Here is a 23,997-nt window from a genome sequence, read left to right as displayed (position 1 = left end):
CATGCTACCTCATTTTTACTTCACAGAATGTGTGACCTGCAAACCTGAATAGGAATGAAAGAAGCCTGTCATTTCAAGAAAAATATCAGAATGTATTTGTTGCCAATAAAATTTTGAGTTTTCAAGTGAAAATTCGTCTTTTAGAAAATTTGTGTCTCATATGAATTAGACAGCTTTTCAATTATTTAAAGATTTTCCGAATGAGTTCAGTGGTGGTATTAATAAATTAAATTTTAAAAATCTTATAATGGAATATGCCAATATGTGGAAGGTCTAAATAAGTCAGTGACTATTTTTCAAATTACTAATATATTGTGTTACAAAAATCATGCGTGGGTAAAAGAACCACTTAAATTTCAAGACAGAATAAAGGATTTTAACGTGAGAGAGAATGAAATCTCATTGACATGATTTCGGATTCTGTAACTCAAATAATCTTTAAGAAGATACTGCTTGTTGAGTTTTGGTGTGGTATCAAAGAATGTTCAAAATGACATGAAAAAACAAACTATTAAAATATTTCTCACTTCTTCAACTATGTATCTGTCAGAAGTTAGGTTTTCTTCATATATTTCAACCAAAACATGACATTGCAATTGAATGCATGATGAAGCAGATATAAGAATACTGGTTTCAATAAAAACAGGTATTAAAAAGATTTGCAAGAATGCAAACAATGGCATTTCCTCCCTGTATTTTCATTTTGAAAAAAATAAGTATTTTTGGTTAAAATGTTACTTCTGTTAACATTATGTTACAGTAGTCCCACCTTATCCACGGAGTATATGTTCCAAGACCCCCACTGAACGCCTGAAACTGCAGATATTACCAAACCCTATATAACCAGGTTTCTTTCTATACACACACACCTCTGGTAAAGTGTACATTATAAATTAGAACCAGTAAGAGATTAACAATTTCTCTTTGGCATATATTTGGCTTCTTTTTGGCATATCCAAATTGCCAACTTCACTTCTCTTGTGCTTTGGGGCCGTTATTAAGTAAGGGCTACTTGGAAATAAGGATTGAAAAACTCTGACAGTTGATCTGCTAACCAAGACTGCTCCTAAGTGACTAATGAGCAGATAGCACAGATGGCATAGATACGGTGGACAAAGGGATAATTCACGTCCCAGGTGGGATGGACGGGGCAGGCATGAGATTTCATCATGCTTTTCCGAACGGTGGGCAATTTAAAACCTATGAATCATTTACTTCTGAAATTTTTCATTTAATGTTTTTGGACCATGGTTGACTGTGGGTAACTGAAACCATGGAGAATGAAACCATGCAAAAATGGGGAGCTACTATACTTGTGTCCTGGATGTCCACGTGTAAGGATTATACAATGACTGCATACTGAAACAAATGCAACGTGGAGGAAAGAAAAATTATGAAAACTTTAAGAAAATAATGGCATCTGCAAAAAAATAGCAACTTTTGTAGCCCTAGTCAGCAATTAGCTTCAGAACATAAAAGCATGTCATTTAAGATTTGGTTTGCTTACACATGATATTTCTTCTTCACATTTAGAACCTGAGTGCATCCCTTCACAACTGAAAATGTCCTTATTTAATCGATTTTAAAAGCAGAACATTTTGTAACAATGTTAAGAGTTATCACACACAGTGCTGAGCACATGCCTGGGTTTTATCAGATTCTTGGAAGGAGACAAACTTGAGAACAGAAGTCTGAAGAAACGGACCATATTTGAGAGGGAAAAACAGGAACCCAAAGCTTTTTGGATAAATTCTCCTGCTTCCCACTGTGCAGCACACCTCCTAAGCACTCATTTTCAGAGTTACTAAGCAAAAGACCAAACTATTTCCCTCTTCCATGTGGAAATGGAAAATGTTCTGGTTTGGTGCTACAATATTTCTAAAACTCCGTTGGTTAGAGGTGCTCTTGTTCCTTCCTTGAGCCCTTCCAGCTAAGAGGATATAAAGCTTCTCTTGTCTAATGGCCATAGAATTTTGCACACAGGACAAGGCACAGAAAGTGCTGGCTAAATGCTGTGAAAATGGCACCAAATCACCAGCCCTCTAAGGTTCTGAACCTGTCAGCCACCGGGAGGGCCTGCAGCCCTCCTTCCCAACCAGAAGATAAAGACGGGCTGACTGCAGGTAACTGAAACCATGGAAAGTGAAACTGCTGATAAGGGGAAGCTATTTTAAAATGCATTTATAAATAAATAATTTCTCAAAATTCCTCAGTTTTTATTTAGTTGTTTTATTTTATTTTATTTTTTTTCGAGACGGAGTCTTACTCTGTCACCCAGGCTGGAGTGCAATGGCGTGATCTCGGCTCACAGCAACCTCCGCCTCCTGGGTTCAAACGATTCTCCTGCCTCAGCCTCCCGAGTAGCTGGGATTATAGGCAGCTGGCTAATTTTTTTAATTTTAGTAGAGATGGGGTTTTGCCAAGCTAGCTAGGCTGGTCTTGAACTCCTGACCTCAAGTGATCCACCTGTCTTGGCCTCCCAAAGTGCTGGGATTACAGGTGTGAGCCACTGTGCCTGGCCCAGTTTTTATTTATAAAATTGTAATTATTGGTAGATATATTCTACAAAAACATTCTCTTCGAGGTCCTCAATAATTTTTAACAGCATAAGAGGTCCTTGGAACAAACATTTTGCAAACCACTGCTCTAAAATGCCTATTTCACGTCTGCATGAATGACCGAGAACACTTTAAATAGGCATTCCTAAAATCCCACTTTAATAAAAATTAGCTAACAATTCCTGAATTTTTACTATTTGCCAAGTGTTGTAATAAAATGCTTTATAAGCCTCATTGTATTTAATCCTCACAACTCTATAAGTATTATTAATTAATCATATCAACTCTATAAGTTAATATGATTTATACTCAGAGTTGATATGATTAATACATCACCATATATTATTTGTCATTAATATTATTAATTAATGATGAATTGATACAATTAATGTCATTAATTAACATTAGTGATATTCCCAATCTTTGTTTTGATTCCCCAGTAGTAGGCCTGAGATTCGTCTGACAGTAGCTATTAGCAAGCTCTCCTGGGAAAACCACCAGGGAGTAAAGAAGTGGAACCAGGAAGGAAAAGACCAGCAGCAAATATGTGATATCAAGCCAAGTCTCCAGAGAAATCCCAAGGGGGAGCTTGGGGACAGTGAGTCACTTCTCAGAGGATCCTTGATTGGGCTACAAGAGAGCTGGAGGATTTACAAATTTATACTTGTGTCTCCAGAAGCAATTCCAGCTTTTTATGCATCAAACAACATTCTAGTAGGCTAAGAGAAGCCCTCCAAAAAAGATATGCAGGTTCTGACAAGCTGGAGCTAAGTGCATTGGGAGGTCCCATGAGGAGCCCTCATGTAAGCCCTTAATCACCTCTTAATATCATCACACTCACAACACCTGAATTTTGGAAAGAACACATTTAAACCAGAGTATTCCTCCCCTGGGACTCCAAAATTCATATTCTTCTCACGTACAAAATATAATCATTTCATCCCAATAGCCCCCCAAAATCTTAATTCATCCCAGAATCAACTTTAAAGTCCAAAGTCAAGAATCTCTTCTAGATATCATCTAAATCAGATATGCGTGAGATTCAAAGGTGAGATTTACTCTGAAGCAAATTCTCCTCTGGCTGTGAGCCTGTGAAATCAAACAAGTTATGTGCTTACAAAATACAATGGTGGGACAGGTATAGGCTAGACATTCCCATTCCAAAAGGAAGAAATAGGAAAGAGGAAAGGAATAACAGGTCTCAGTAAGTCCAAAACCCAAAAGGTAAACAACATTAAGTCTTAAAGTTGGAGAATAATGTTACTTTTTTTTTTTTTTTTTTTGAAACGGAGTCTTGCTCTGTCTCCCAGGCTGGAATGCAGTGGCACAATCTCGGCTCACTGCAAGCTCTGCCTCCCAGGTTCACGCCATTCTCCTGCCTCAGCCTCCCAAGTAGCTGGGACTACAGGTGTCCACCACCACGCCTGGCTAATTTTGTTTTTGTATTTTTGGTAGAGACAGGGTTTCACCATGTTAACCAGGATGGTCTCGATCTCCTGACCTCGTGATTCGCCCGCCTCAGCCTCCCAAAGTGCTGGGATTACAGGTGTGAGCCACCGCGCCTGGCTGAGAATAATCTTCTTTGAACCCCTGTCCCCCTTCTATACATGCTGGCTGCAGGGGACCCCACCCCCATAGCTTTGCTGGGCACAACCCATGCCTCAGATCTTACAGGTTAGAGTCTACAGCTCTCGCAGGCTGCCATTGTGTGCTAGTGGTTCTACAGGTGTGGGGCTTCAGGGGAGACCTGCCTTCATGATTCCACTAGGCATTGCCTCATTAGGGGCTCTCTGCAGCAGCTCTGCCCCTGCAGCAGATCTTTGCCTGAGTCTCAGGACTCTGAGACATTCTTTGAAATCTAGGTGGAAAAAGTAATGCCTCCATGGCTTGTTCACTCTGCAAACCTGCAGAATTAGCACCACATGGATGCTGCCAAGGCTCACCATCTGCACCCTCCTGGGAAGCAGTCCAAGCTGCACCTGGGCCTTCTTAAGCTATGGCTATGGTAACCAAAGAGTGCTGTACAAGAATGTGGGGAACCAGAGACTTGAGATGGTCCTGAGCTCTAAGACCCCACATGGGCCTTGGGACTCTCCCTCAAAACCACTCTGCCTCAAGGCCCTGGCACTCTGGGCCTGTGATGGGTACGGCTATCCCAAAGATCTCTGGGTCATTCTTCTATTATCTTTGTGAATAGCACCTGGCTGCCTTATATCCATACTAATCTTCTTATCAAATGATCACTTGACCATTCCCTTGATTTTGTTCTCCTAACCACATTTTTTTACTGTATACATGGCCAGGCTGAGAATTTTCCAAATCTTTACATTCTGCTTTCATTTCTGTTATAAATTCTATCCTTAAATAGGTTCTTTTTGCATTTTATTATAATCAATTAAGAGAAGTTATCAGCACTCTGAACACTTTGATGCTTAGAGATTTCCTCCAGCAAATATTCTAGTTCATCACTCTTAAGTTGTGCTTTCCCTGAAGTCCCAAGGAACAGACACAATTCAGCCAAGTTCTTTGTCATTGTGTAACAAACGTTGTCTTTCCTTCAGTTTTCAATAAGACATTGCTCATCTACACTTAAGAACTCATCAGAACAGCCTTTACTCTCCATATTTCTACCCACATTCTGATCATGACCACTTAGTAATCACTATAAAGACTGAAGCTGTTGCTACAGTTTTTCTCTTATTCTGAGCCCTCCCTAGAATTGCCCTTAATAGTCAATTCTGGATACTGTAGAGTTTCTACAGTATTCACTTCAGAACTGTTTCAGCCTCTACCCATTACCCAGTTTGAAAGCTACTTCCACTTTTTTAGGTATTTGGCATAGTAACACCCCACTCTTGGTACCAATTTCTGTCTTGGTCTGTTTGTGCTGCTGTAAAAAAATATCTGAGCCTTGGTGGTTTAGAAACACTGAAATTAGTTTTGTCACAGTTCTGGAGGCTGTGAAGTCCAAGACCAAGGCATTGGCAGGTTCATTTGTCTGGTGAGGACTGCTCTCTTCATCCAAGATGGCACTTTGATGCTGCATCCTCCAGAGGGGTGGAATGCTAGGTCCTCAAATAGCAGAAGGCAGAAGTTCAAGCTAGCTGACCACTGTGTGAAACCTCTTTTATAAGGGCCTTAATCCTATTTGTGATGGAGGAGACCTGGTGGCCTAATCATCTCTTAAAGGCTCCACTTAATACTATCATTAACAACACCTGAATTTTTTTTTTTTTTTTTTTTTTGAGACAGAGTCTTGCTCTGTCTCCAGGCTGGAATGCAGTGGCATCATCTTGGCTCACTGCAACCTCTGTCTCCCTGGTTCAAGTGATTCTCCTGCCTCAGTCTCCTGAGTAGCTGGGACTACAGGCACACACGACCACACCTGGCTAATTTTTGTATTTTTAGTAGAGACAGCGTTTCACTATGTTGGCTAGGATGGTCTCAAACAACACCTGAATTTTTGAGGGCACACACTAAAACCATAGTAGGAATGAAAGCAACCATGAACATGGACATGAAGCACTGACAGCATCTGCTATATCCCCATTTCACATCTGAGGTTAGTTATTTCTCTCCCACCTGAATATGTCTTCCCTGAAAAGACAGATTATCTTTATTAGCATCTGTATTATCCATCCCAGCAAACAGTAAAATCATTCCAAGCCTTACACAGAGGTATTATCTAGGAGTCCATCTCTTCCCTATCTCCTATATCCTATAGGAATTTGGCCACCAACTCCTGCTAATTTTATTTTCTTGACATCTCAGGAATGCGTGCCCATTAAAAATACTGAGTGCATTTTATTGCTGTAAAATTGGTGTGAAGAATATAGTTCATTCTACTTGTGAAGGTAGAGATGCCACCTATTACCGCCTTCCAGAAGTGGATGTGGGAACATTAAAAGAATTGGATCTATAGAGCAGATTCTTAACCCATCAATCTAGGGGAGGGAGGAAGCAACAGAGAGAAGAACATCAATTGCTCCCAGGAAGAACATCTCTGAAGAACTGAGAGGTCCAGGCACCCTCAGAGGAACACTCAACTTCAATATGACAATTATTTCTAAAAGGCAAAGGACACTAAGTTATGTTAGATACTCAATCACTCAGAAACCAAATAAGGCTATGAGAGGTAGAAAGAGATGGTAGCAACTTTCCCCAGTAAGTTCCTTAAAGAATAGAATTCTCAGCAGAAATTCCTGAGCAGTCAACTTGATAAAGAGGAGAGGGAGAAAATGATTCTCCTCATACTTTCCATCCCCACTGCCACCACCTTAGTTGATTACTGCAACAGAGATCTCACGACCTCCCTGCCTCTGTTCTTTCTGCCTCCACTCAATTCTGTGCTGCCATGGAGAGCTAGCTAACAAGGCAGACATAATCCCATGTCTCTCTCCCTACTTAAAACCCTTCTGTGCCTCCTCATTGTCTGCAGGATGAAATCTAAATTCCTAAGGCTCACATACAAGGTCCTTGGTGACCTTCTCCCTGCCTTTCCAGCCTCAATTCTAGTCATTTGACCTTTTGCATTTTATAATTTTGTTACTGCAAGCTGTTTGTGGAGGAAATACCTTCTCCCTGACTCTTTATAACCTGGACACCTGTCATTAATCCTTCAGTATTCAGTTCAAAGGTCAATTTCATCCAGAAGCCTTATCTGAACTCTTCATGCTGGCCTAGGTGTCCCCTTTGTTTACTACTCTCTATCTTAGCACTCATCACACTGTCCTAGGATTTCTTGCCAATCATCACAAAAGTACTGTGATCTCATTGAGAGCTGGGACCCTGTCCTTCTGGTCTTTATACTACTAGTATGTATCATCGTGCCTGGCACAAAGCCAGAGATTGCTGGATGGATAAATGGGTAAAGCGGAGTGAATGCTTCAGGACCCTGGATAGTTCTCGAACATGCTATGGCTCTAAAGGTTACTAGGCACACTCGGTGTACATCTTCTGGTTGGGACTCTAAACTTACATTAGGGATCCCTCAAATCCTTTAGACTGGAGTTTGCAGTCTTTTTTTCCTTTCAAACAAAATTAAAAGCTTTAGTGTGTACAATAAAATTGAACGTGCCCACAGCCTTATAATTACAGCAAGTTTGTACAACCTTAAACTTGGGTTCATTCCCATCCTGCCTTTAGCTATGAATTATCCTGCAGACACATTTATTCTTTCAACCACTGTCCTGTTCCAGAGGGTCCGCTCCCTACCAGTCCTGCACCAAAGCAACAATCTCCAAAAAGCGGCTAGTGACAGAAATAAGCCTGCAGATCCTGAGGGCCAACGTATGCTGACAAATGAATTAGACAAGACAGCATCCTGGGGCAGTGCACACAGTGGAGTAGTGAGCTGGGGTTGCTTCCTGAAGCCCCGCTGTCAATGACAAGTACGCAGTCAAGTGCTGGTCCAGTCCAGCCCTAACAGGGACTTCTTACTGTGGGTCAAGGTCATAGGGCCTGAAAGGCACTGCCCTGAGGAGGGCACCCAGAGGATCAGCTCGGAAGTTGGGCCGATTGTCCTGATACTCACTCACTGCTGTGTGACCCTGGTGAAGTTCTCAACCTCTGTGACCCTCTGCTGTCTGTCTTCACAAACACCACCAACTTCAGCAAGCTGAGTGAATTAAGTAACATGCAAAACACAACAAGGAAAGCTTGACCTTCCTCAAGGCTCTTCTCTTTTTCTGGGCTTCCAACTTTTAAACTGATAACCCGAAAAAAATGTAGTGTTGTCAGGCCCACGTTTGCTGGGTTCCTCTACAGGAAGGAGTTGGAAGGTCCCAATTCCACACACCAAAGGGATGCCCAGTCCTTTCCCATGAGGGGGCCTGGCCACCCAGGGCCTCCAGAGGCCAGCATCTGCCCCAAGACTGTGGCCCCTCCTGGGTGTAGGGGGAAAACCATTCTTCAATCAGACTGCTGAGAGCCCTCGTGGGTTGAAACATTGGTCAGACTCCACCTTGGAGAAGCTAAGTGACATCAGAAAAAAGACGCAGCATTCACAAGGCACAGAGCCAACAGACACAGCAGTGAGGTCCACCATCAATGGACCCAAGTGAACCAGGGGGCTCTCCAGGCCCCACAATTTGGGGCTGGTCTGGAGTACCGAGGGCAGCATTGGGAATATGAGTCTCCTTGCCTGGCTGAGAAAACAAGCTCAGTGGGGCCTGTGCCACCTGAGGCCCAGTAGGGGCCTGGCAGTCAAAGGGGAGCAGGCGGTGCCCAGTCCCAGCTCCCAGGCCGGCCGGGAGAGCCAGAAGCCACGTGCCTGGCAAGAGCACGCCAAAAGCAGGAGAACACTTGACCGTTTTCTTGGCCCAGCAAGGAAACCACCTTCTACTCTGCATTTTAAAGGAAAAAGAATGTGTTACTGGTTTAAGTTTTTAGAACTTTTCCAGAGAAAGGCTGACTAGCAAGAACGGGTGCTAAAGGAATCCACCTCGCCTCACCTCTCCTATGAAATTGTAAAAGGAATTAGCACTTGAATGAGGAGGCCAGCATGTCTGGAATGAGAACCAGCCAAGCACGCAGTTTGACGGTAGGGTCCCGGAGCCATGTCCTCCCCCTTTCAGGCTATAGTCCTGACTACAGGAATTGGCCAAAGAAATGTGCAGTCTTACCCTCAAGAACCAATCCATTAGTCAGCTCTAAATATATCTGAAATATATTGCAATGTATCTACTTTCCATTTCTTCATTACAAGCCTATTCCAAGATGTTATTCTTTCCTGCACCATCACAGAAACTTCCTAAATAGGCTACTTGCTTTCATATCTCAATCCATCTTCCACATAACAGTCAGAGTGATCTTTTAAAACTACAAATCAGCTTGGTGGATGAAAGATGGCCGCAAGATTCTTTGCCACTACTCACATCAAGAAATGGAATCAATTTACTATCCCTTTGAGTCTGGCCGGCCCAGTAGCCTGTGTTACCAGTGGCATGCAGCAGAAGTGTCTCTGCATAACTTCCAGGACTGGATCTTGAATGGCAGGTGTATAGATGTAAGCAATTTAAAGAGTCCTGAAAGGTTGGTAATGAGGCACTTGACCCACTGATACATCATACAGGAAAAAAATACCAAGAGTAATAATAATAATAACAGCTTTTAAGAAGAATTCTTAGAAAGCCTGAGGCCTTCTATGTATAATTTTCATTATGTGTCAAAATCCTGTGAGGTTCATAGTAGTTTCACCGCATGAGAACACTATAGTTCTGGTAGACTAATTTTCTCAATAAACAAGAGCCAGCATTCAAATGAAGGGCTAACTGAAGCTGACACTTTTGTTCCTTCCACTGTCTCTTCCTGAATGAGAAATCCCCAAGTCCTCCTCCCTTTCTACTGGGGACTCTGACAAATGTTCTTCCCCAAGTCCAGACATTAGACTTAAGAGACAAGTCCCACTGTTGGTGAGATCTTACGTTCTCCAAATTATTAAAACAATAAGTCAGATGGCTCTTGGATGCCACATTGTATGACTATGATATTTGTTCTGCCCTAAGCAACTCCCCATAAATACAAAGGCCAAATCTTGTAATTGAAACCATATGTTAACCAATGCCCTAAACATACTTGTACATTCTCTCTTTCCAAATCTCAATGTTCTCCAAAAACTGCTAATGAGCTAAAAGGGGACTGGCATTCCTGTATCACTTCAATAACAGCAAAATCTGTGGTCAATGTCATTTTTAATGCATCCTCCCCCACCGCCTCCTTCACCTTCATTGTTCTGCAGACTTCCTTTCTCATAAAATGCAGAATGACCTCCTGGCAAGGAAGAACTGAAAATATTTCAGTTCTACAGGTCAGTGGTATTTTTATGGACTTTAAATTACATCAGTCAATCATAATCCTGCCTCTAAGCCTGAAATAATGAAAAATTATGCCTCCTCTAAATCATTTTAGTCTATAATTCAAATTATGTATTGTATAAGGGGCCCAGAGCCATGGTGTTACCCACAAGGCAATGCATAATTGGCCTCAAGGAAGCTGAGCATTGGCAGTCCATGCTACCACATAAGTTCGGTTTTGCTGAGCCTAAGGTATTCACTTCCTGTGTCACTGGCACACACCTACACATGGATGCCTAAAATGCTGCCTTGTTCAACACACACTCACATACACACCTTGTGAGGTGATTAATATTTATCAAGCACTCACTATACACAAGGCAAAGAGCACTTAAGCTCCTCCATGCACTTATACTTACAATGATAGTCACTGGAAACAGAGCCAAATAAGACTTTATTTCATAAACTAACAAATCTGTTCATATCACACCCACCACACCTGGTTTAAAACCTGGTGGGGTTTTAATGGCTTCCTATTAACCTGGAAGTACAAACCCAACCCTCTTAAGCTAGCTCAGAAGGCACCTCCAGCTCCTTCAGCCTTCCCCGCTGTGTTCTGCACATCCATCACACTGGCTGTCTTTCTGTGCCTTGTACAGACTGCACTGCCCATCTTCCCTCTGCAGTGTCCTCATCCATGCTGTTCTCATTAGAGCTTCTTTCTCTCCCTGCCCACCCTCCTCTTTTCAGTCGTACAAACTCCTCCTATCTATTTTTCAGGTTTCTGCAAGAAAGCTTCCCTGACTCAGACCCTGATGCCAGATAAGTTCTCCTACTTTATATTCTCAGAGCTTCTCAACTGCTGTTTGTCATAACAAACACTTCACTTCTTTGCTTGTATGTCCAGTAAGTTCCACTGGACCATACGCTCCATGAGGGTAAGCACTGTGTCTGCTGTGTCTGTTTCTTCATCCTTGGCCCCTAACAAAGTGCCTGGTACCAAGATAAAGGGATTATCTTGGTCTTTAACAGCAGTTCTTAAAGTGTGGCTCCCCAGACCAGCAGCATCAGCATTTCCTAGAGACTTGTTAGAAATGCAAGTCCGCTAGTTCCAAACCCAGATCCACTAAATCAGGAACTCTGAGGTGCGGTCCAGTGATCTGGTCTTTAACAAGCATTCCAGGTGATTCTCATGCACACTGAGGTTTGAGAACCACTAGTCTAGAATATCAAGGCACTCACAGTCTAATAGATAAGACTTTCACTCTGCAACCACAAAAAGCAAAACTAGAATCAATGGGTAGACATTCTTTGCAGGCCAACTTTGGATAAGGGACAGGCAGGATTTTCTCACAATTAAAAAAGTTCTATAACAAAACAGACTGAGTAAAGTGAGCAGACCACCACAGGCACCTAATTGTGGAGGTCCATCTTCTGGCCAAGAGGCAGCACTCAATGGATATTGACTTGAACACTGGAGAAGGGAGTCCTGAGTCAGGCAAGGTGAGCTGTGTCTAAGTTCCCATCCATCTCTAAGACTCTTAGAGATTCCACAATTTTGCCTGCTCTGAGGGTTTAAAGGATTATAATAAAGCACAGAGTGGCTTTGGTTTAAACAACATCTAATGTTGCATAAATATGACAAAAATCATTAACACTCCCCCATCTCGTCCCAGCAGAAGCCAAGCAATAAGGATTTTATAAATGACTGTAAATAAAAAACCCAGTTAATTCCAAACAGGAAGCCATTTGACAGAACAAAGAAGCCCCTGTCTCCAGGAGACTTAAAGAGGAGACACTGCCTCTATTGGAAATCAAAAGGAAATTGTTCTCATGTGAAAGGTGCCCCTTCTGCGTTTACCCTCCAGTTCTTAACTGAAGCTGACTGAATAGGTTCATTTGGAGGCAAAATGATGTTGGAAGTCCTGCAGTAAAACTAGGGATAAAAATCAGATGTGATATCTGATTGAAGTGACTAAAGATCTTTAAACTCCCAACCAACCATAAGCAACACATCAACTAACTGTTGAGAATTGCAGTTCACATCACTGTCCCTGCAGATTCCAAGAAATTTCCTTTCTGACTTAGAACCCAGTTAAAACACTATGTTCTCAGAGCTCTGGGCCCACTGCAGAAGGGAAAGGATTCTACATATTTTTATGTCATTGTTTGTTCCCAGAGAAATAGTTCAATAAAGATCCCATTTAGCAAATGGCTTGCTCCCATCTAAAAAACTTGAAAAGCAATGTTTAGATTTTCAATATATCCATCAATTCCCAATGTCTTTGTGCGGTTTTTTAAAAGCAATGATCCATCTCTTTTCATGTATTGTCACAGCTCATTTATCAACAAGAAAATACCTACGTAAAATACATAGTCTGGAGACACAAAATCTCAGATTTCTCCCAAGATAAAAATGCTCTCTTGCTTCCTCTTAAAACTTTAACACTTTGTTCATACCTCTCTCACAATAAAACAAAAATTTGGAGCATTTGACAATATGTGCCAAAATATAATGTTAAGGAAAAATGAAAATTCAAATCTGTATATACAGTATCTTCTGAAAATAAGCAAAAGACTAAAAGGAAATGCCAAAGAAATTGAGACAGAGATAGTCCTTAGATTATGAGATCATGAGTGATTTTTAACTTCTTAAGTTTCTTGTGTTATTATCAAATTGTAATAATTAAGATAGTGTGTGTGTAGTGCAGGGTTGGACAAATAGAGCATTGGAACAGAACAGACAAACCCACCCAGAGAAGGAAATGATAGATGGCACTGAAGGTGCCTGGGGACCATGAATGTCTACAATAAATCATGCTGGAATAGTGAGTTGTCTATAAGTAACAAAATGAACCTGGACCTACACATTATTGTATTAGTCTGTTCTCACACTGCTATAAAGAACTACCCGAGACTGGGCAATTTATAAAGAAAAGAGGTTTAATTGACTCACAGTTCCACAAGCTGTTACAGGAGGCATGGCTGGGGAGGCCTCAGGAAACTTACAATCATGGCGGAAGGCAAAGGAGAAGTAAACGCATTTACACATGGCAGCAGGGGAGAGAGAACCAAGGAGGAAGCACTACACACTTTTAAACAACCAGATATCATGAGAACTCACTCACTATCATGAGAATAGCAAGGGAGAAACCCGCCCCCATGATCCAATCACCTCCCACCAGGTCCCTCCCCCAACATGAGAATTACAATTCAACATGAGATTTGGGTGGGGTCACAGAGCCAAACAATATCAGTCACCATATACAAAAATCAGAACCTCATACCATGCACAGAATCCTGAATTTAAATAGGTAAAAGCCAAGCTTCAAACTGTTCAAAGAAAATTTAGGAAAATATCACTGCGACCTCAAGATTGGGAGCGGTTTTTCAAAGCAGACATAAAATCACTACCTTTAATTTAATTGGTAATTTAATCTCATTGAAACATTTTTTAACCAAAAGTCACCATAAAGTATAAATACAAGCTACAAACTACAAGAAGATATTCATCACATATAAATCCCCCCATAAATCAATAAGGGAAAAGGCAACCTTCTTAAAAAGGAGCAAACAGCTTAAGTATAGGTGGGAGGGCTGCAATCAGAAATGAGACAAGAAGCTTCGCTAAGAAGGAAGTATTTGTGATTTTAAAGAAGCAGGTTTTTACTAAAGGGGAAAAAGTTTAATCAAGGTGCATATAAGAAATCCATTTCCTAAGCCACCCAAACCGTGTTCATCAATAACCTCTTCACCAGTAATAAACGTGATAGATTGATCTCTATCTGCTTCACTTCTAGTCTTATTTCTCAACTGTGTCTAAGCTGGAGAAGCTAAAAGGAAGTGGGGTTTTAGTTATTAGGCTCCAATCCCAACAGAAAGGAATCTGGATTTCATTCTGGATGGCTTTGAACAAGTGGGGCATGGCCTGACTTAAGCTTGTTTGAAGTTCAGCCCAGCAGCTGTATGGAGAATAGACTGTATGAGACAAGGATGAAAGCAAAATGATCATTAGTCGGCTTCCACCATAACCCAGGACAGGATTGATGGCAGCTTGGTGGCAGGAGTAGAAGAATCAGAAGCTGTCAGGGCCAACAGCATTTGTTCTTGGACTCAATGAGGTGATGGATGAGGGAAAAGAAGGAATCGAAGAACAGCCCCAGAATTAAATCACAGTGAAAAGCAATAATGGGTTAAAAGTGTCCTGAAAACAGCAGTGCTAATGCACAACAGCTCCTCGAGATTATCTATATGTACGTATATATTATTTAAATACAACTAAGTGAATTCATGCTGATCAGGTTTTATCTGAGTTTTAGAACATAGGATGCAGAGAATATATTCTGTAGAGACAGAACCAGAAAGCGCAGAGAGCAGACACTTGATTTTAAAAAAACGATGTCGACCTTCTGCCTGCGATCATTGATTTATCTCCGCCAGGGTCATAAAAAGCGTGTTTCCTCTCACTCATCGAGATCTCTTGCAGGCCAACTCATCACTCATGAAATTTTATACTTACAGCCAGCAGCCCCAACCTCGTGCAAATATGACACTTATGTCCAAATTGAATGCACATAAAATGTCATCCTACCCTCACCAACACAGCAACTTCCAATTATATAATGTTTTAAGGGACGATGACAAATGTGGGAGAAATTGCCTGGTGGCCTTTGCTAACATAACAAAATTGGAAAGTTTGGATGAAATCACAGGATGTGGAGGGCATTCTGACTTCACGAGGTGCCAGTTTGCTTTGATTAAGCAGCCATGGGGTGCTTCTGCAGGAAAACCTTTGTGGGGACTGCGGTTTATCTCCGGTTTTCGTACCCTTCACATGATCCACATAGTCACCTCAGTGCAGAAAGTCATGACTTACATTTTGAGAGCTCTTTAAAAGGCTGACAGTAAGCCCACAGACAGTAGGGAAAAATTGCTTGTTTTGAGAGGTGTCACATCTGAATATTACTTGCACAAATAACCTTGACTGCTCGGGTCTGAATCCTGGTTCTGACTTTTGGTAGCTGTGTCATGTTAGACATGTTTTTCTGCATGCTATGCCTCTGTTTCCCCACCTTCTAAATGTCTATAATAATCACATCTACTTGCTTACTAATTGTGAAAATTAAAAATGATGGCCTGTATAAAACATCAGAGCGGTCCCTGACACACAGTAAATGCTTAATAAAGATTAGTAAGTAAAAAGACCATTAAATAAAATCGCCTGTGTCCTGCTCTGTAATAGCACCTGGCACACAGTAGGAGCTAAACAATTATTTGCTGCACGAGTGTTGAATGAATTACCGTTAGTCCCTCGGCTTCAGTTTTCATTGGTGAGTCTTAACTCTCAACGTTGTCATGAAGATAAAATACTATGGCAAATACCCAATAAATAGCAGTTTATAAAATGAACTATAAAAGCCCCATTTACTGAAGTAAAAACAAAATCAGAGAGACTTGTCGCTTGATCATTTTAGAGCTTGCGTGATTCACAGTGTAAAATGCGAGTTTGTTTACTTTTCAAATGAACAAATGTGCATTTTACTCTGTGAAGCAAGATTGTTTGTTTGCTTGTTTGTGTTTGTTCTTTCTTCCCCAGAGAGGATGATGCTGACCTCATGGGGTCATTGCACATGGTGAGTTAACAGAAGAGAGAAGGCTGGCAGGGAGGAGATGGGCCACATTTCACAGCCTCTTATTCCGCAAGCAAATAAGCTTCCATCCCCCCTCCTCCCCTAGTCCTACCTCCCTGGACAGAGTCCCAGACTCACACACAAGTGCTTTCCCCCTGGTCCTCCTGGGGACCTCCAGTGGTTTGGCTCTTTCCTTGTAGAAGTAACTCTTCTGGTCATCCCATTGTTGACAAGACTACCTCTGGGGGCTCCTGATACTGCTATTTCTCCCCAAGTGGTAGCTGTACTGCCAGGAAGCTCAAGATCCCACTCTTTCCCTATTTCTCTCTCCCAGAATTACAAATCTTTTCCATTAGCCTTGGACCAGGAAGGCCTTGTCTTCTTAATTTCTTACAGCACACCTAGGGAAGAGTTCTGAGGAGTAATGTGTATTTGTGGAAAAGCATGCTAATAGACAAATAAGTTTGGTTTTTACTAGTTTAAAAAGTGAAAATGAAGTTCTTTACTGAAGGAATTCTCAGAGCTTTTGGTATGCCACTATTCACGGGACTCTTCAAGACAGGGGATATAAGAAGTATTTCTGGTAGGGCATGGTAGCTCACACCTGTAATCCCAGCACTTTAGGAGGCTAAAGTGGGAGGATCATTTGAGCTCAGGAGTTTGAGACCAGCCTAGGCAACCTAGTTAGACCCCATCTCTACACAAATTTAAAAATTAGCTAGGCATGATGGTGCATACCTGTAGTCCCAGCTACTCATGGGGCTGAGGTGGGAGGATCACCTGAGCCCAGGAGGTCAAGGCTGCAGTGAGTTGTGATCACACCACTGCATTCCAGCCTGGGGCATAGAGGGAGACTTTGTCTCAAAAAAAAAAAAAAAAGTATTTCTAAAACTTAATTTACTTCACCAATATTTGGATAGAAAACACTTTTGCAACTATACTGTAAGTGTTCCAAGGAATAGATTTTAAAATAGATTAAATGCCCATTTATCTGTTTTTGAATGCCTGCCAATGCCTTCTCTAGGGCAGGGCTCATAACAGTGGACTTCACACCTGGTCCCTGCCTTCATGGAATTTGAAGTCTAGTAAGGGAATCACAGACATAAGCCCACAAGTAGAGTTCATAATGCACACCATAAGAGGACACAAAGTACAACAGTGCAGGTTTGTCTTCGGTGAGGGCAGGACAAGAAAAGTCTTCAAGGAAAATGAATTATCTGTGATACTGATGAAAGACTAGCTATGCTGTGAATGTGCAGAGATGGATGGACGAAAAGGGACAAAGAAGGGCAAGAAGACTGGGAACACCAGGCCCAGGCTGTTGTGCATGGCCCGAGGAGATGGGGAAGGGCAGAAGGTCAGGTGGGTAAGGTGTGAACAGTGGGTGAGAGACCTCATATGGAAAGCCTTGAGGAGGAGGAGGAGGAGAAGAAGAAGAAGAAAGAGGAGGAGGAGGAGAAAGACAAGGGGAAGAGGACATGTAGCACACACAGGCTGGAGATTCAGTCTTCAACATTATGCCTTTGTAACAAGATGCTAGTTTCAAGGAAATGGCTCCTGAATTGCATATGTGCTGAGCTGTGGGTGTGTGTTTGACATTTCAACTTTCCAATGGAAGAGCTTCAATGACGCACAATTTAAGCCTTCCAGGAATTGTGCTGTTACATCCAAATCAGGCAGTTGGCCTCTAGAAATTCACATATTTGACCTAAATCCCTGTGTCAGCAACAGGAAATCTATTGCCCTTGAAGATGCAGTGGTATAGAGGAAACAATCTAGGCTTTGGAAGTAGACAGTTGGGGGGCCATATCCTGATTCTGTTTTTTTTCGATGTTGCAGTTTTGGACAAGGTTGTTAAAGTATCCAACCTACTTTCTCAAATGTCAATGGTGGTATTATAAACGCTTCCTAGGCCCAGGCACTTTATGATAATTAGGTGAGATAATGTTCATGAGGGATCTAACACAGAGACCAGCACAGAGGTGCTTGGTGTAGATGGCAGCTGCTGGGATTCTAACATCATCATTATCAATTCAGTTCAGTTGAGGGGATAAAGCAATTTCATGGAGTTACTCTCTTGCACACTATTCTTCCTTTCACTGTCTTCAGAATTTTGACCACTGGTTGCCCCATTCAAGAAATCGTAAGCTCTAGGCTGGGCACAGTGGCTCTCACCTATAATCCCAGCACTCTGGGAGACCAGGGTAGGAAGATCACTTTAGCCTAAGTATTTGAGAACAGCTTGGGCAACATAGCAACACCCCATCTCTACAAAAAATACAAAAAAATTAGCCAGGCATGGTGGCACATGCCTGTGGTCCCAGCTACCTGAAAGACTGAGGTGGGAGGATTACTTGAACCTGTGATTTTGAGGCTGCAGTGAGCTGTGATTGTGACACTGCACTCCAGCACAGGTGACAGAGCAGGACCCTGTCTCAAAAGAAAGAAAAAAAAGAAATGTAAACTCTATTTCCTGACACATAAGTCTTCCGATATCTCTCCCTCTTCACCCACCCTACTGTTAATATGTTAGTCCATACTCACAATTTTCTGTTACCTGAATCTCTCCATGTGCAGAAGTGCTGAGGGGGAGGCAGCTGGGATGGAAGCTCCAGACAGAGCACACTGGACAAGGAAAAGGGGCCATGAGAGGGGCATGTGCCCAACTGGGCAGGACTTTGAAAATCAAAGAAAACTAGACTTCTTCCTGAAGGCAATAAGGAATCACTGATGAAGCCCACTGAGCAGGGAAAAGGTTTATAAAGAATGAAGTTTTATGAAGATTGCTTGTCAGGCATCGTGATCATTTATCTGACACAAGACAAAATAATCATATCTACCAGATGGGCTTGATTTGGGTGAATCAAGCCAGAATGGATTTACCCAAATTAATCTCTCATCTTTTCCCTTCCCACCATGGGGCGATCATTGAATTCTTCCCTACCCAGAATATCTAAGAGACCCCGAGACTACCGTGTTTATCAGTGGCATTGAGGATGACATGGGTGGAAATCCAAGGTTCAAGCAGGGAGATATGAGTCCTTGGGGTACCATACAGAGCTCATACTTTGAAGCCAGAATTTTGCCTTCAAGTCCTACCAGCTGAGTGATGTTAATAAAGTCATTTAGTTTTGCCAGGACTAAGTTTTCTGCCCTGAAATTGAAGTTAGAAAACTTCTCATGACTAATGTGAAGATCAAATGCCATAACAACTACAAAGTGTTGTATATGCAGTAAGAACTCAATAAATCATATATGAGACTTGGTTCTCCTCCAGAGCCCAGACCATGGTTTGTTCTTATTTACTTCCATAGCACCAGTGTTTGATGATCAATCATTCTACTCAGCAATATCCGGCGCTCCTTCCTTTCTAGGCAAGGGGTAGAAATTTATTTTCTGACTCCCTGTGGCTGGAGGAAGCCATGTAACTAACTGATGGGGAAAATAAATGGGTGTGAGCCACTTCTGGGCTGAGTTCCCTTTCCCTCAGGCCCTCACATGGTCAGGGCTCAAGAGGTACCATCAACCTACAATCCTGAATCACCTGGTGAGCAGAGCCTTCTCCCAGTCCAGGCTGGACACACTGTAGTATATCCAACAAGAAAGAGACCTCTGTTCTTTTAAGCCATTGAAAACTGGGGGTTGTTTTTTACTGCAGCATAGCTTAGCCCATCCTGACTGATAGATACAGCCATGCCTGTAACACAACATCAAACCAGAAAATGTTTCCTTTGTGAATAAATGTACAGAGAAGGAAATGTGGATGTTAAAAAGAGAGGAAAAGCAAAATAAAATAAAAGTAATAAACTGAAATGTCCAGAAGAGAAAAAACAAACATATGACACAGGTCATGCAACTTCATCTTGGAACTCTCAAAGCAGGCAGCAAAAAGTGATCACAGTCCTCTTTGCCAATGAGGGACCCTTCTTCTTTTCAGCTGCAGTCTCAGACACTTTCTTAAGAAAAAAAATGCTGGAGCATTAAGAAAGTGTCTGAGACTGCATCTGAGACTGCATTTTTGAGAAAATAATATTTTCCCTCTCTGGTCTCTGCCACCCTCGCGGACTGGGACAGGTGTCACAGGGTGTATTAGTCCATTTTCATACTGTTATGAAGAAATACCTGAGACTGGGTAATTTATACAGAAAAAGAAGCTTAATGGACTCACAGTTCCACATGGCTGGAGAGGCCTCACAATCATGGCAGAAGGTGAAGGAGGAGCAAAGTCACGTCTTACATGGTGGCAGGCAAGAGAGCACGTGCAAGGGAACTGCTTTTTATAAAACTATAAAACCACCAGATCTCATGAAACTTATTCGCTATCACGAGAAAAGCACGGGAAAACCTGCCTCCATGATTAAATTAGCTCCCACTGAGTCCGTCTCATGACACATGGGGATTATGGGAGCTAAAATTCAAGATGAGATTTGGGTAGGGACACAGCCAAACCATATCACAGTGTTAGGGTGGATGCAGAGGAATACAGTTCAGAAGGAATTCGTTCAGGCTCGTGGGTCATCCTGTCTCTGTCCCGGCTGTTCCACACTGCCATGGCAGCATAGAAGCAGCCACACAAGATACATAAATGAAGGCGTGTGACTGTGTTCCAACAGGACTCCACTTACTAAAATGTATGGCACTCCAGATTTGGCCCATGAGCCATAGTTTGCTGACCCCACAAAGACTAATAAAGCCCAGAAGCATCTAAAGCAGTTCAGAAACAATTGGGTCAAGAACAGGATGAGTCTGGAATGGCACTTTGGGTGGGAAGAATGATACAGAAGGAGTTAAAGAGAAAATAATGATTTGCATAAGTAGGAGAGAAGATGGAGGTGCTCCAGGCCCAAACCCCAGCCCTGAACTTGTTCTCTCCCAGACCCCGGGGCAGGCTCCTTCTTGGATGTGTCTTTGTCTTCGTGGGTGCAGAATGGTTCTGGCAGATGCTGTCTCACTTCAGCAGAAACAGATCTGGGTTTATGGAAATGTTTTGCAGATGGGCCTTTTCATATCCCCCTCCGCAGCTACTCCCACTCTGCTTGTGTGTGCATGACTCATCATTCGTCATTTCAATTACTGAGGCCTCCATTCATCGGCCTATCCATCTGCCAGGCACTCTCTCGCCAGCCAGCAGCCACCACTACTGAGAGGTAATGACTGTTGTTGGAAGAAGTCACGCCTCTGTCATTAGCTCAAGACTGGGGGATTGCTGTGATCTCTCCATGCAATAACCGCCATAAACTCTTGACCACGTTATTGTTTCCGAGGGGTATGGAGGCTCTCCAGAGCAGTGGGAAACAGTGGAGGATATTTAAAGTTGAATATTTAGTGGGATATTCCTGCAAATACCCTCCCATGGAAGCCACTGCCTGTCCTAGGACCATCCTACTGTGGAGGGGAATCAGGAGTGAAAAGGAAGATTCTGATTAATTATCCTAAGAGAAGACAGTCATCACTTTCATTAGCTTCTAAGGGTTATTTGTGGTTTTTGCCTTTTTGCTGGGTATGATGACATAGAAAGATATTTGACTATGACCCATAACTACTTCTCTATCACTGTCACAGGCTTGAGAAGGAAATAGCAAAGGGGACACTCTAGACCAAATCTGTTGGTGTAGTACTATAAAGATTTTTGGTTCAACTTCCAGCTGGAAAGTCTTGGCCCCACATTGACTGGACTGGGCTAGGGCACCTGGTGCCAAGAATATTCCTTTTGACCTTGGTAGAGGCAGCCCAAGTGGACTAATTAAAGTATCTTCCATTCCTTTGGCCCAGGATCCTGCCCTAACCTTTTGTCCCAGTAACCTGAGATGCAAGGAGGATGGGAGATGAGAATCGGTGAAAGAGAATTCCCCCAAGGCAAGAACAGATATCTCCCCAAGGCCCAGAGTATAGAACATGGGCATTGCCCAATCCCAGGCTTACACAGTTCAAACAATCCTAAATGCACACACACACACACACACACACACACACGCGCGCGCGCCTGGTCTAGAACTGTCAACCTCTGCCACCTCACTCACTCACTCCTCTGTCACTGCTACCCCTTCAACCCCAAATCTCTGAAATTACAGCTCAACCAAGATGGAAAACCGTATCTGCCACAGCCAGAGCCTGGGGAGACTGAGAGAAGCCAGCCAGGGAGGCCCTCAGGCTCCACACACCCACAGCGCTGTCAGTGAAAACTGGAACAACCCCTCCTCCCTGTCTCTGTGTGCCCTGGACCTTGCCTTGTCTTTGGAGAGAATGAGGGAGGGGAGGTGTATTAGTTAGGGTCCTTCAGAGAACCAGAAACAGTAAGAGATACATAGATACAAGAGATTTACTATAGACATTGGCTCACAGGATTATGGAGATTGTACTGCCTCCATAGTCCCACCATTGTCATCTGCAAGCTGGACACCAGAAAAGCTAGTGTTGTGATTCAGTCTGAGGGCAAAGGAGAGGCAACGACATAAGTCCCAGTGGTGTCCAAAGGCCTGAGGACCAGGAGAGGCAATGATATAAGTCCCAGTCCCAAGGTCTGAGGACCTGGAGCTCTGAAAGTCCAAGGGCAGAAGAAGGTGGATGTCCCTGCTCTAGAAGAGAGGGAAAATGTGCTCTTCCTCCTGCTCTTTGTTCCACTCGGGCCCTCCAGGGATTAGATGATGACTTCCCACACTGGGGAGAGTAATCTTGTTTACTCAGTCTACTGATTCAAATGCTAATCTGCTTTGGAAACACCCTCACAGACACACCCAGAAATGATTTTGCCAGCTATTGCAGCAATCTGTAGACCAGTCAAGTTGATAGAAAAAATTAGCCATCAAGAGGCAAAGAGGCAGGAGCCCTGAGAGCCCCTCCCCACGAGTGGTCCATAAGGGAGGATGAAGAACCAGAGCTGAGACTATATTTTGCTTAAAACCCAGGACACGCCGGGAGCAGTGGCTCACACCTGTAATCACAGCACTTTGGGAGGCTGAGGCGGGCAGATCACAAGGTCAGGAGTTCAAGACCAGCCTGGCCAATATGGTGAAACCCCATTTCTACTAAAAATACAAAAATTAGCCAGGTGTGGTGGCAGCCACCTGTAGTCCCAGCTACTCAGGAGGCTAAGGCAGAAGAATCACTTGAACTCAGGAGGCGGAGATTGCAGTGAGTCGAGATCATGCCATTGCTCTCCAGCCTGGGTAACAGAGTGAGACTCTGTCTCAAAACAAAACAAAACAAAACAAAACAAAAAAACCTAAAAAACAAAAACAAACAAAAAAAACCTAAAAAACAAAAACAAACAAACAAAAAACCCCAGGACACTCTGTTGTCTTGTCACTGTCCCTCACATGTTCTGTGACCCCAGACAAACCACTTCCCTTATCTGAGCCTCAGTTTCCCCATCTGCAGCCCAGCACAGTCCCAGCACAGAACACATGTTCAATAAATGAATCATGGAGATCTCTAGTTAACCTGTAGGACTCCAGCCAGCTCGAGAGATCTATTAATACAATTCTACCCACGATTCTGCTCTTTCGAAAGTGCAGCTTTCTTAGTTGAGTTCTTCCAGATGCAGACTTTGAGATGAGGCTTCATCTGCAAGCAATTTATTAAGGAGTGCTTCCTGAAGACCAGCAGGGAAAAGAAGCTACAGTGTGGTGTCAAGCAAGACCCAGCCTCAGCCTGATCAAACCAGGTGCTCTGGAGAATGCATTATGACTTTGTGCTATGGAGAATGCATTATGACTTCGTACCTCAATGCAAGACAGCTGGGCTCTCACAGTTCTGGGCCCACCAGTCACTGGCTATGGGGCCACCTGGGAGGGGTGTGTGAATTCCCAGGCACTTGCATCTCTGCAGGAGTGCAAGGGCGGGCCCCTGAAGTAGGTTTAAGTGATCGCTCTTGGAGGTGAAGCATAACGAAGCTGGGGGAGGTGAGCACACGGAAGCAAAGGAATGATCTGAGGCATTTGGGTTGGAATAGAAAAATTAGGAATGACAACAAAATTAGGAAGGAGAACTTCTAGGTTGCAGTGAATAATGATTGAG

The 23,997-nt window shown here is 42.8% G+C and overlaps 1 protein-coding gene across 7 annotated transcripts in view, besides 3 other annotated features; it reads right to left on the bottom strand.

Annotated features, from left to right (window-relative positions):
• STK32B (serine/threonine kinase 32B) overlaps window positions 1-23,997 on the bottom strand; it is a 481,604-nt gene that overhangs the window by 273,332 nt on the left and 184,275 nt on the right. The window lies entirely within an intron of this gene.
• Window positions 8,962-9,256: a silencer, noted in NCBI's record as "tiled region #9083; K562 Repressive non-DNase unmatched - State 24:Quies". NCBI's record gives its function as "represses a minimal TATA promoter and a strong SV40 promoter by Sharpr-MPRA in K562 cells {active_cell/tissue: K562}" and the evidence as "EXISTENCE:reporter gene assay evidence [ECO:0000049][PMID:27701403]".
• Window positions 21,500-22,000: an enhancer, noted in NCBI's record as "H3K4me1 hESC enhancer chr4:5207385-5207885 (GRCh37/hg19 assembly coordinates)". NCBI's record gives its function as "activates a minimal SCP1, AML or CMV promoter by ChIP-STARR-seq in naive H9 embryonic stem cells {active_cell/tissue: H9 hESC(naive)}" and the evidence as "EXISTENCE:reporter gene assay evidence [ECO:0000049][PMID:30033119]".
• Window positions 22,001-22,501: an enhancer, noted in NCBI's record as "H3K4me1 hESC enhancer chr4:5206884-5207384 (GRCh37/hg19 assembly coordinates)". NCBI's record gives its function as "activates a minimal SCP1, AML or CMV promoter by ChIP-STARR-seq in naive H9 embryonic stem cells {active_cell/tissue: H9 hESC(naive)}" and the evidence as "EXISTENCE:reporter gene assay evidence [ECO:0000049][PMID:30033119]".

The sequence above is a fragment of the Homo sapiens genome, chromosome 4, assembly GCF_000001405.40.
Source record: "Homo sapiens chromosome 4, GRCh38.p14 Primary Assembly".
In the NCBI taxonomy this organism is placed as follows: Eukaryota; Metazoa; Chordata; class Mammalia; order Primates; family Hominidae; genus Homo; species Homo sapiens.
This window is presented reverse-complemented; position numbering and strand designations above follow the sequence as displayed.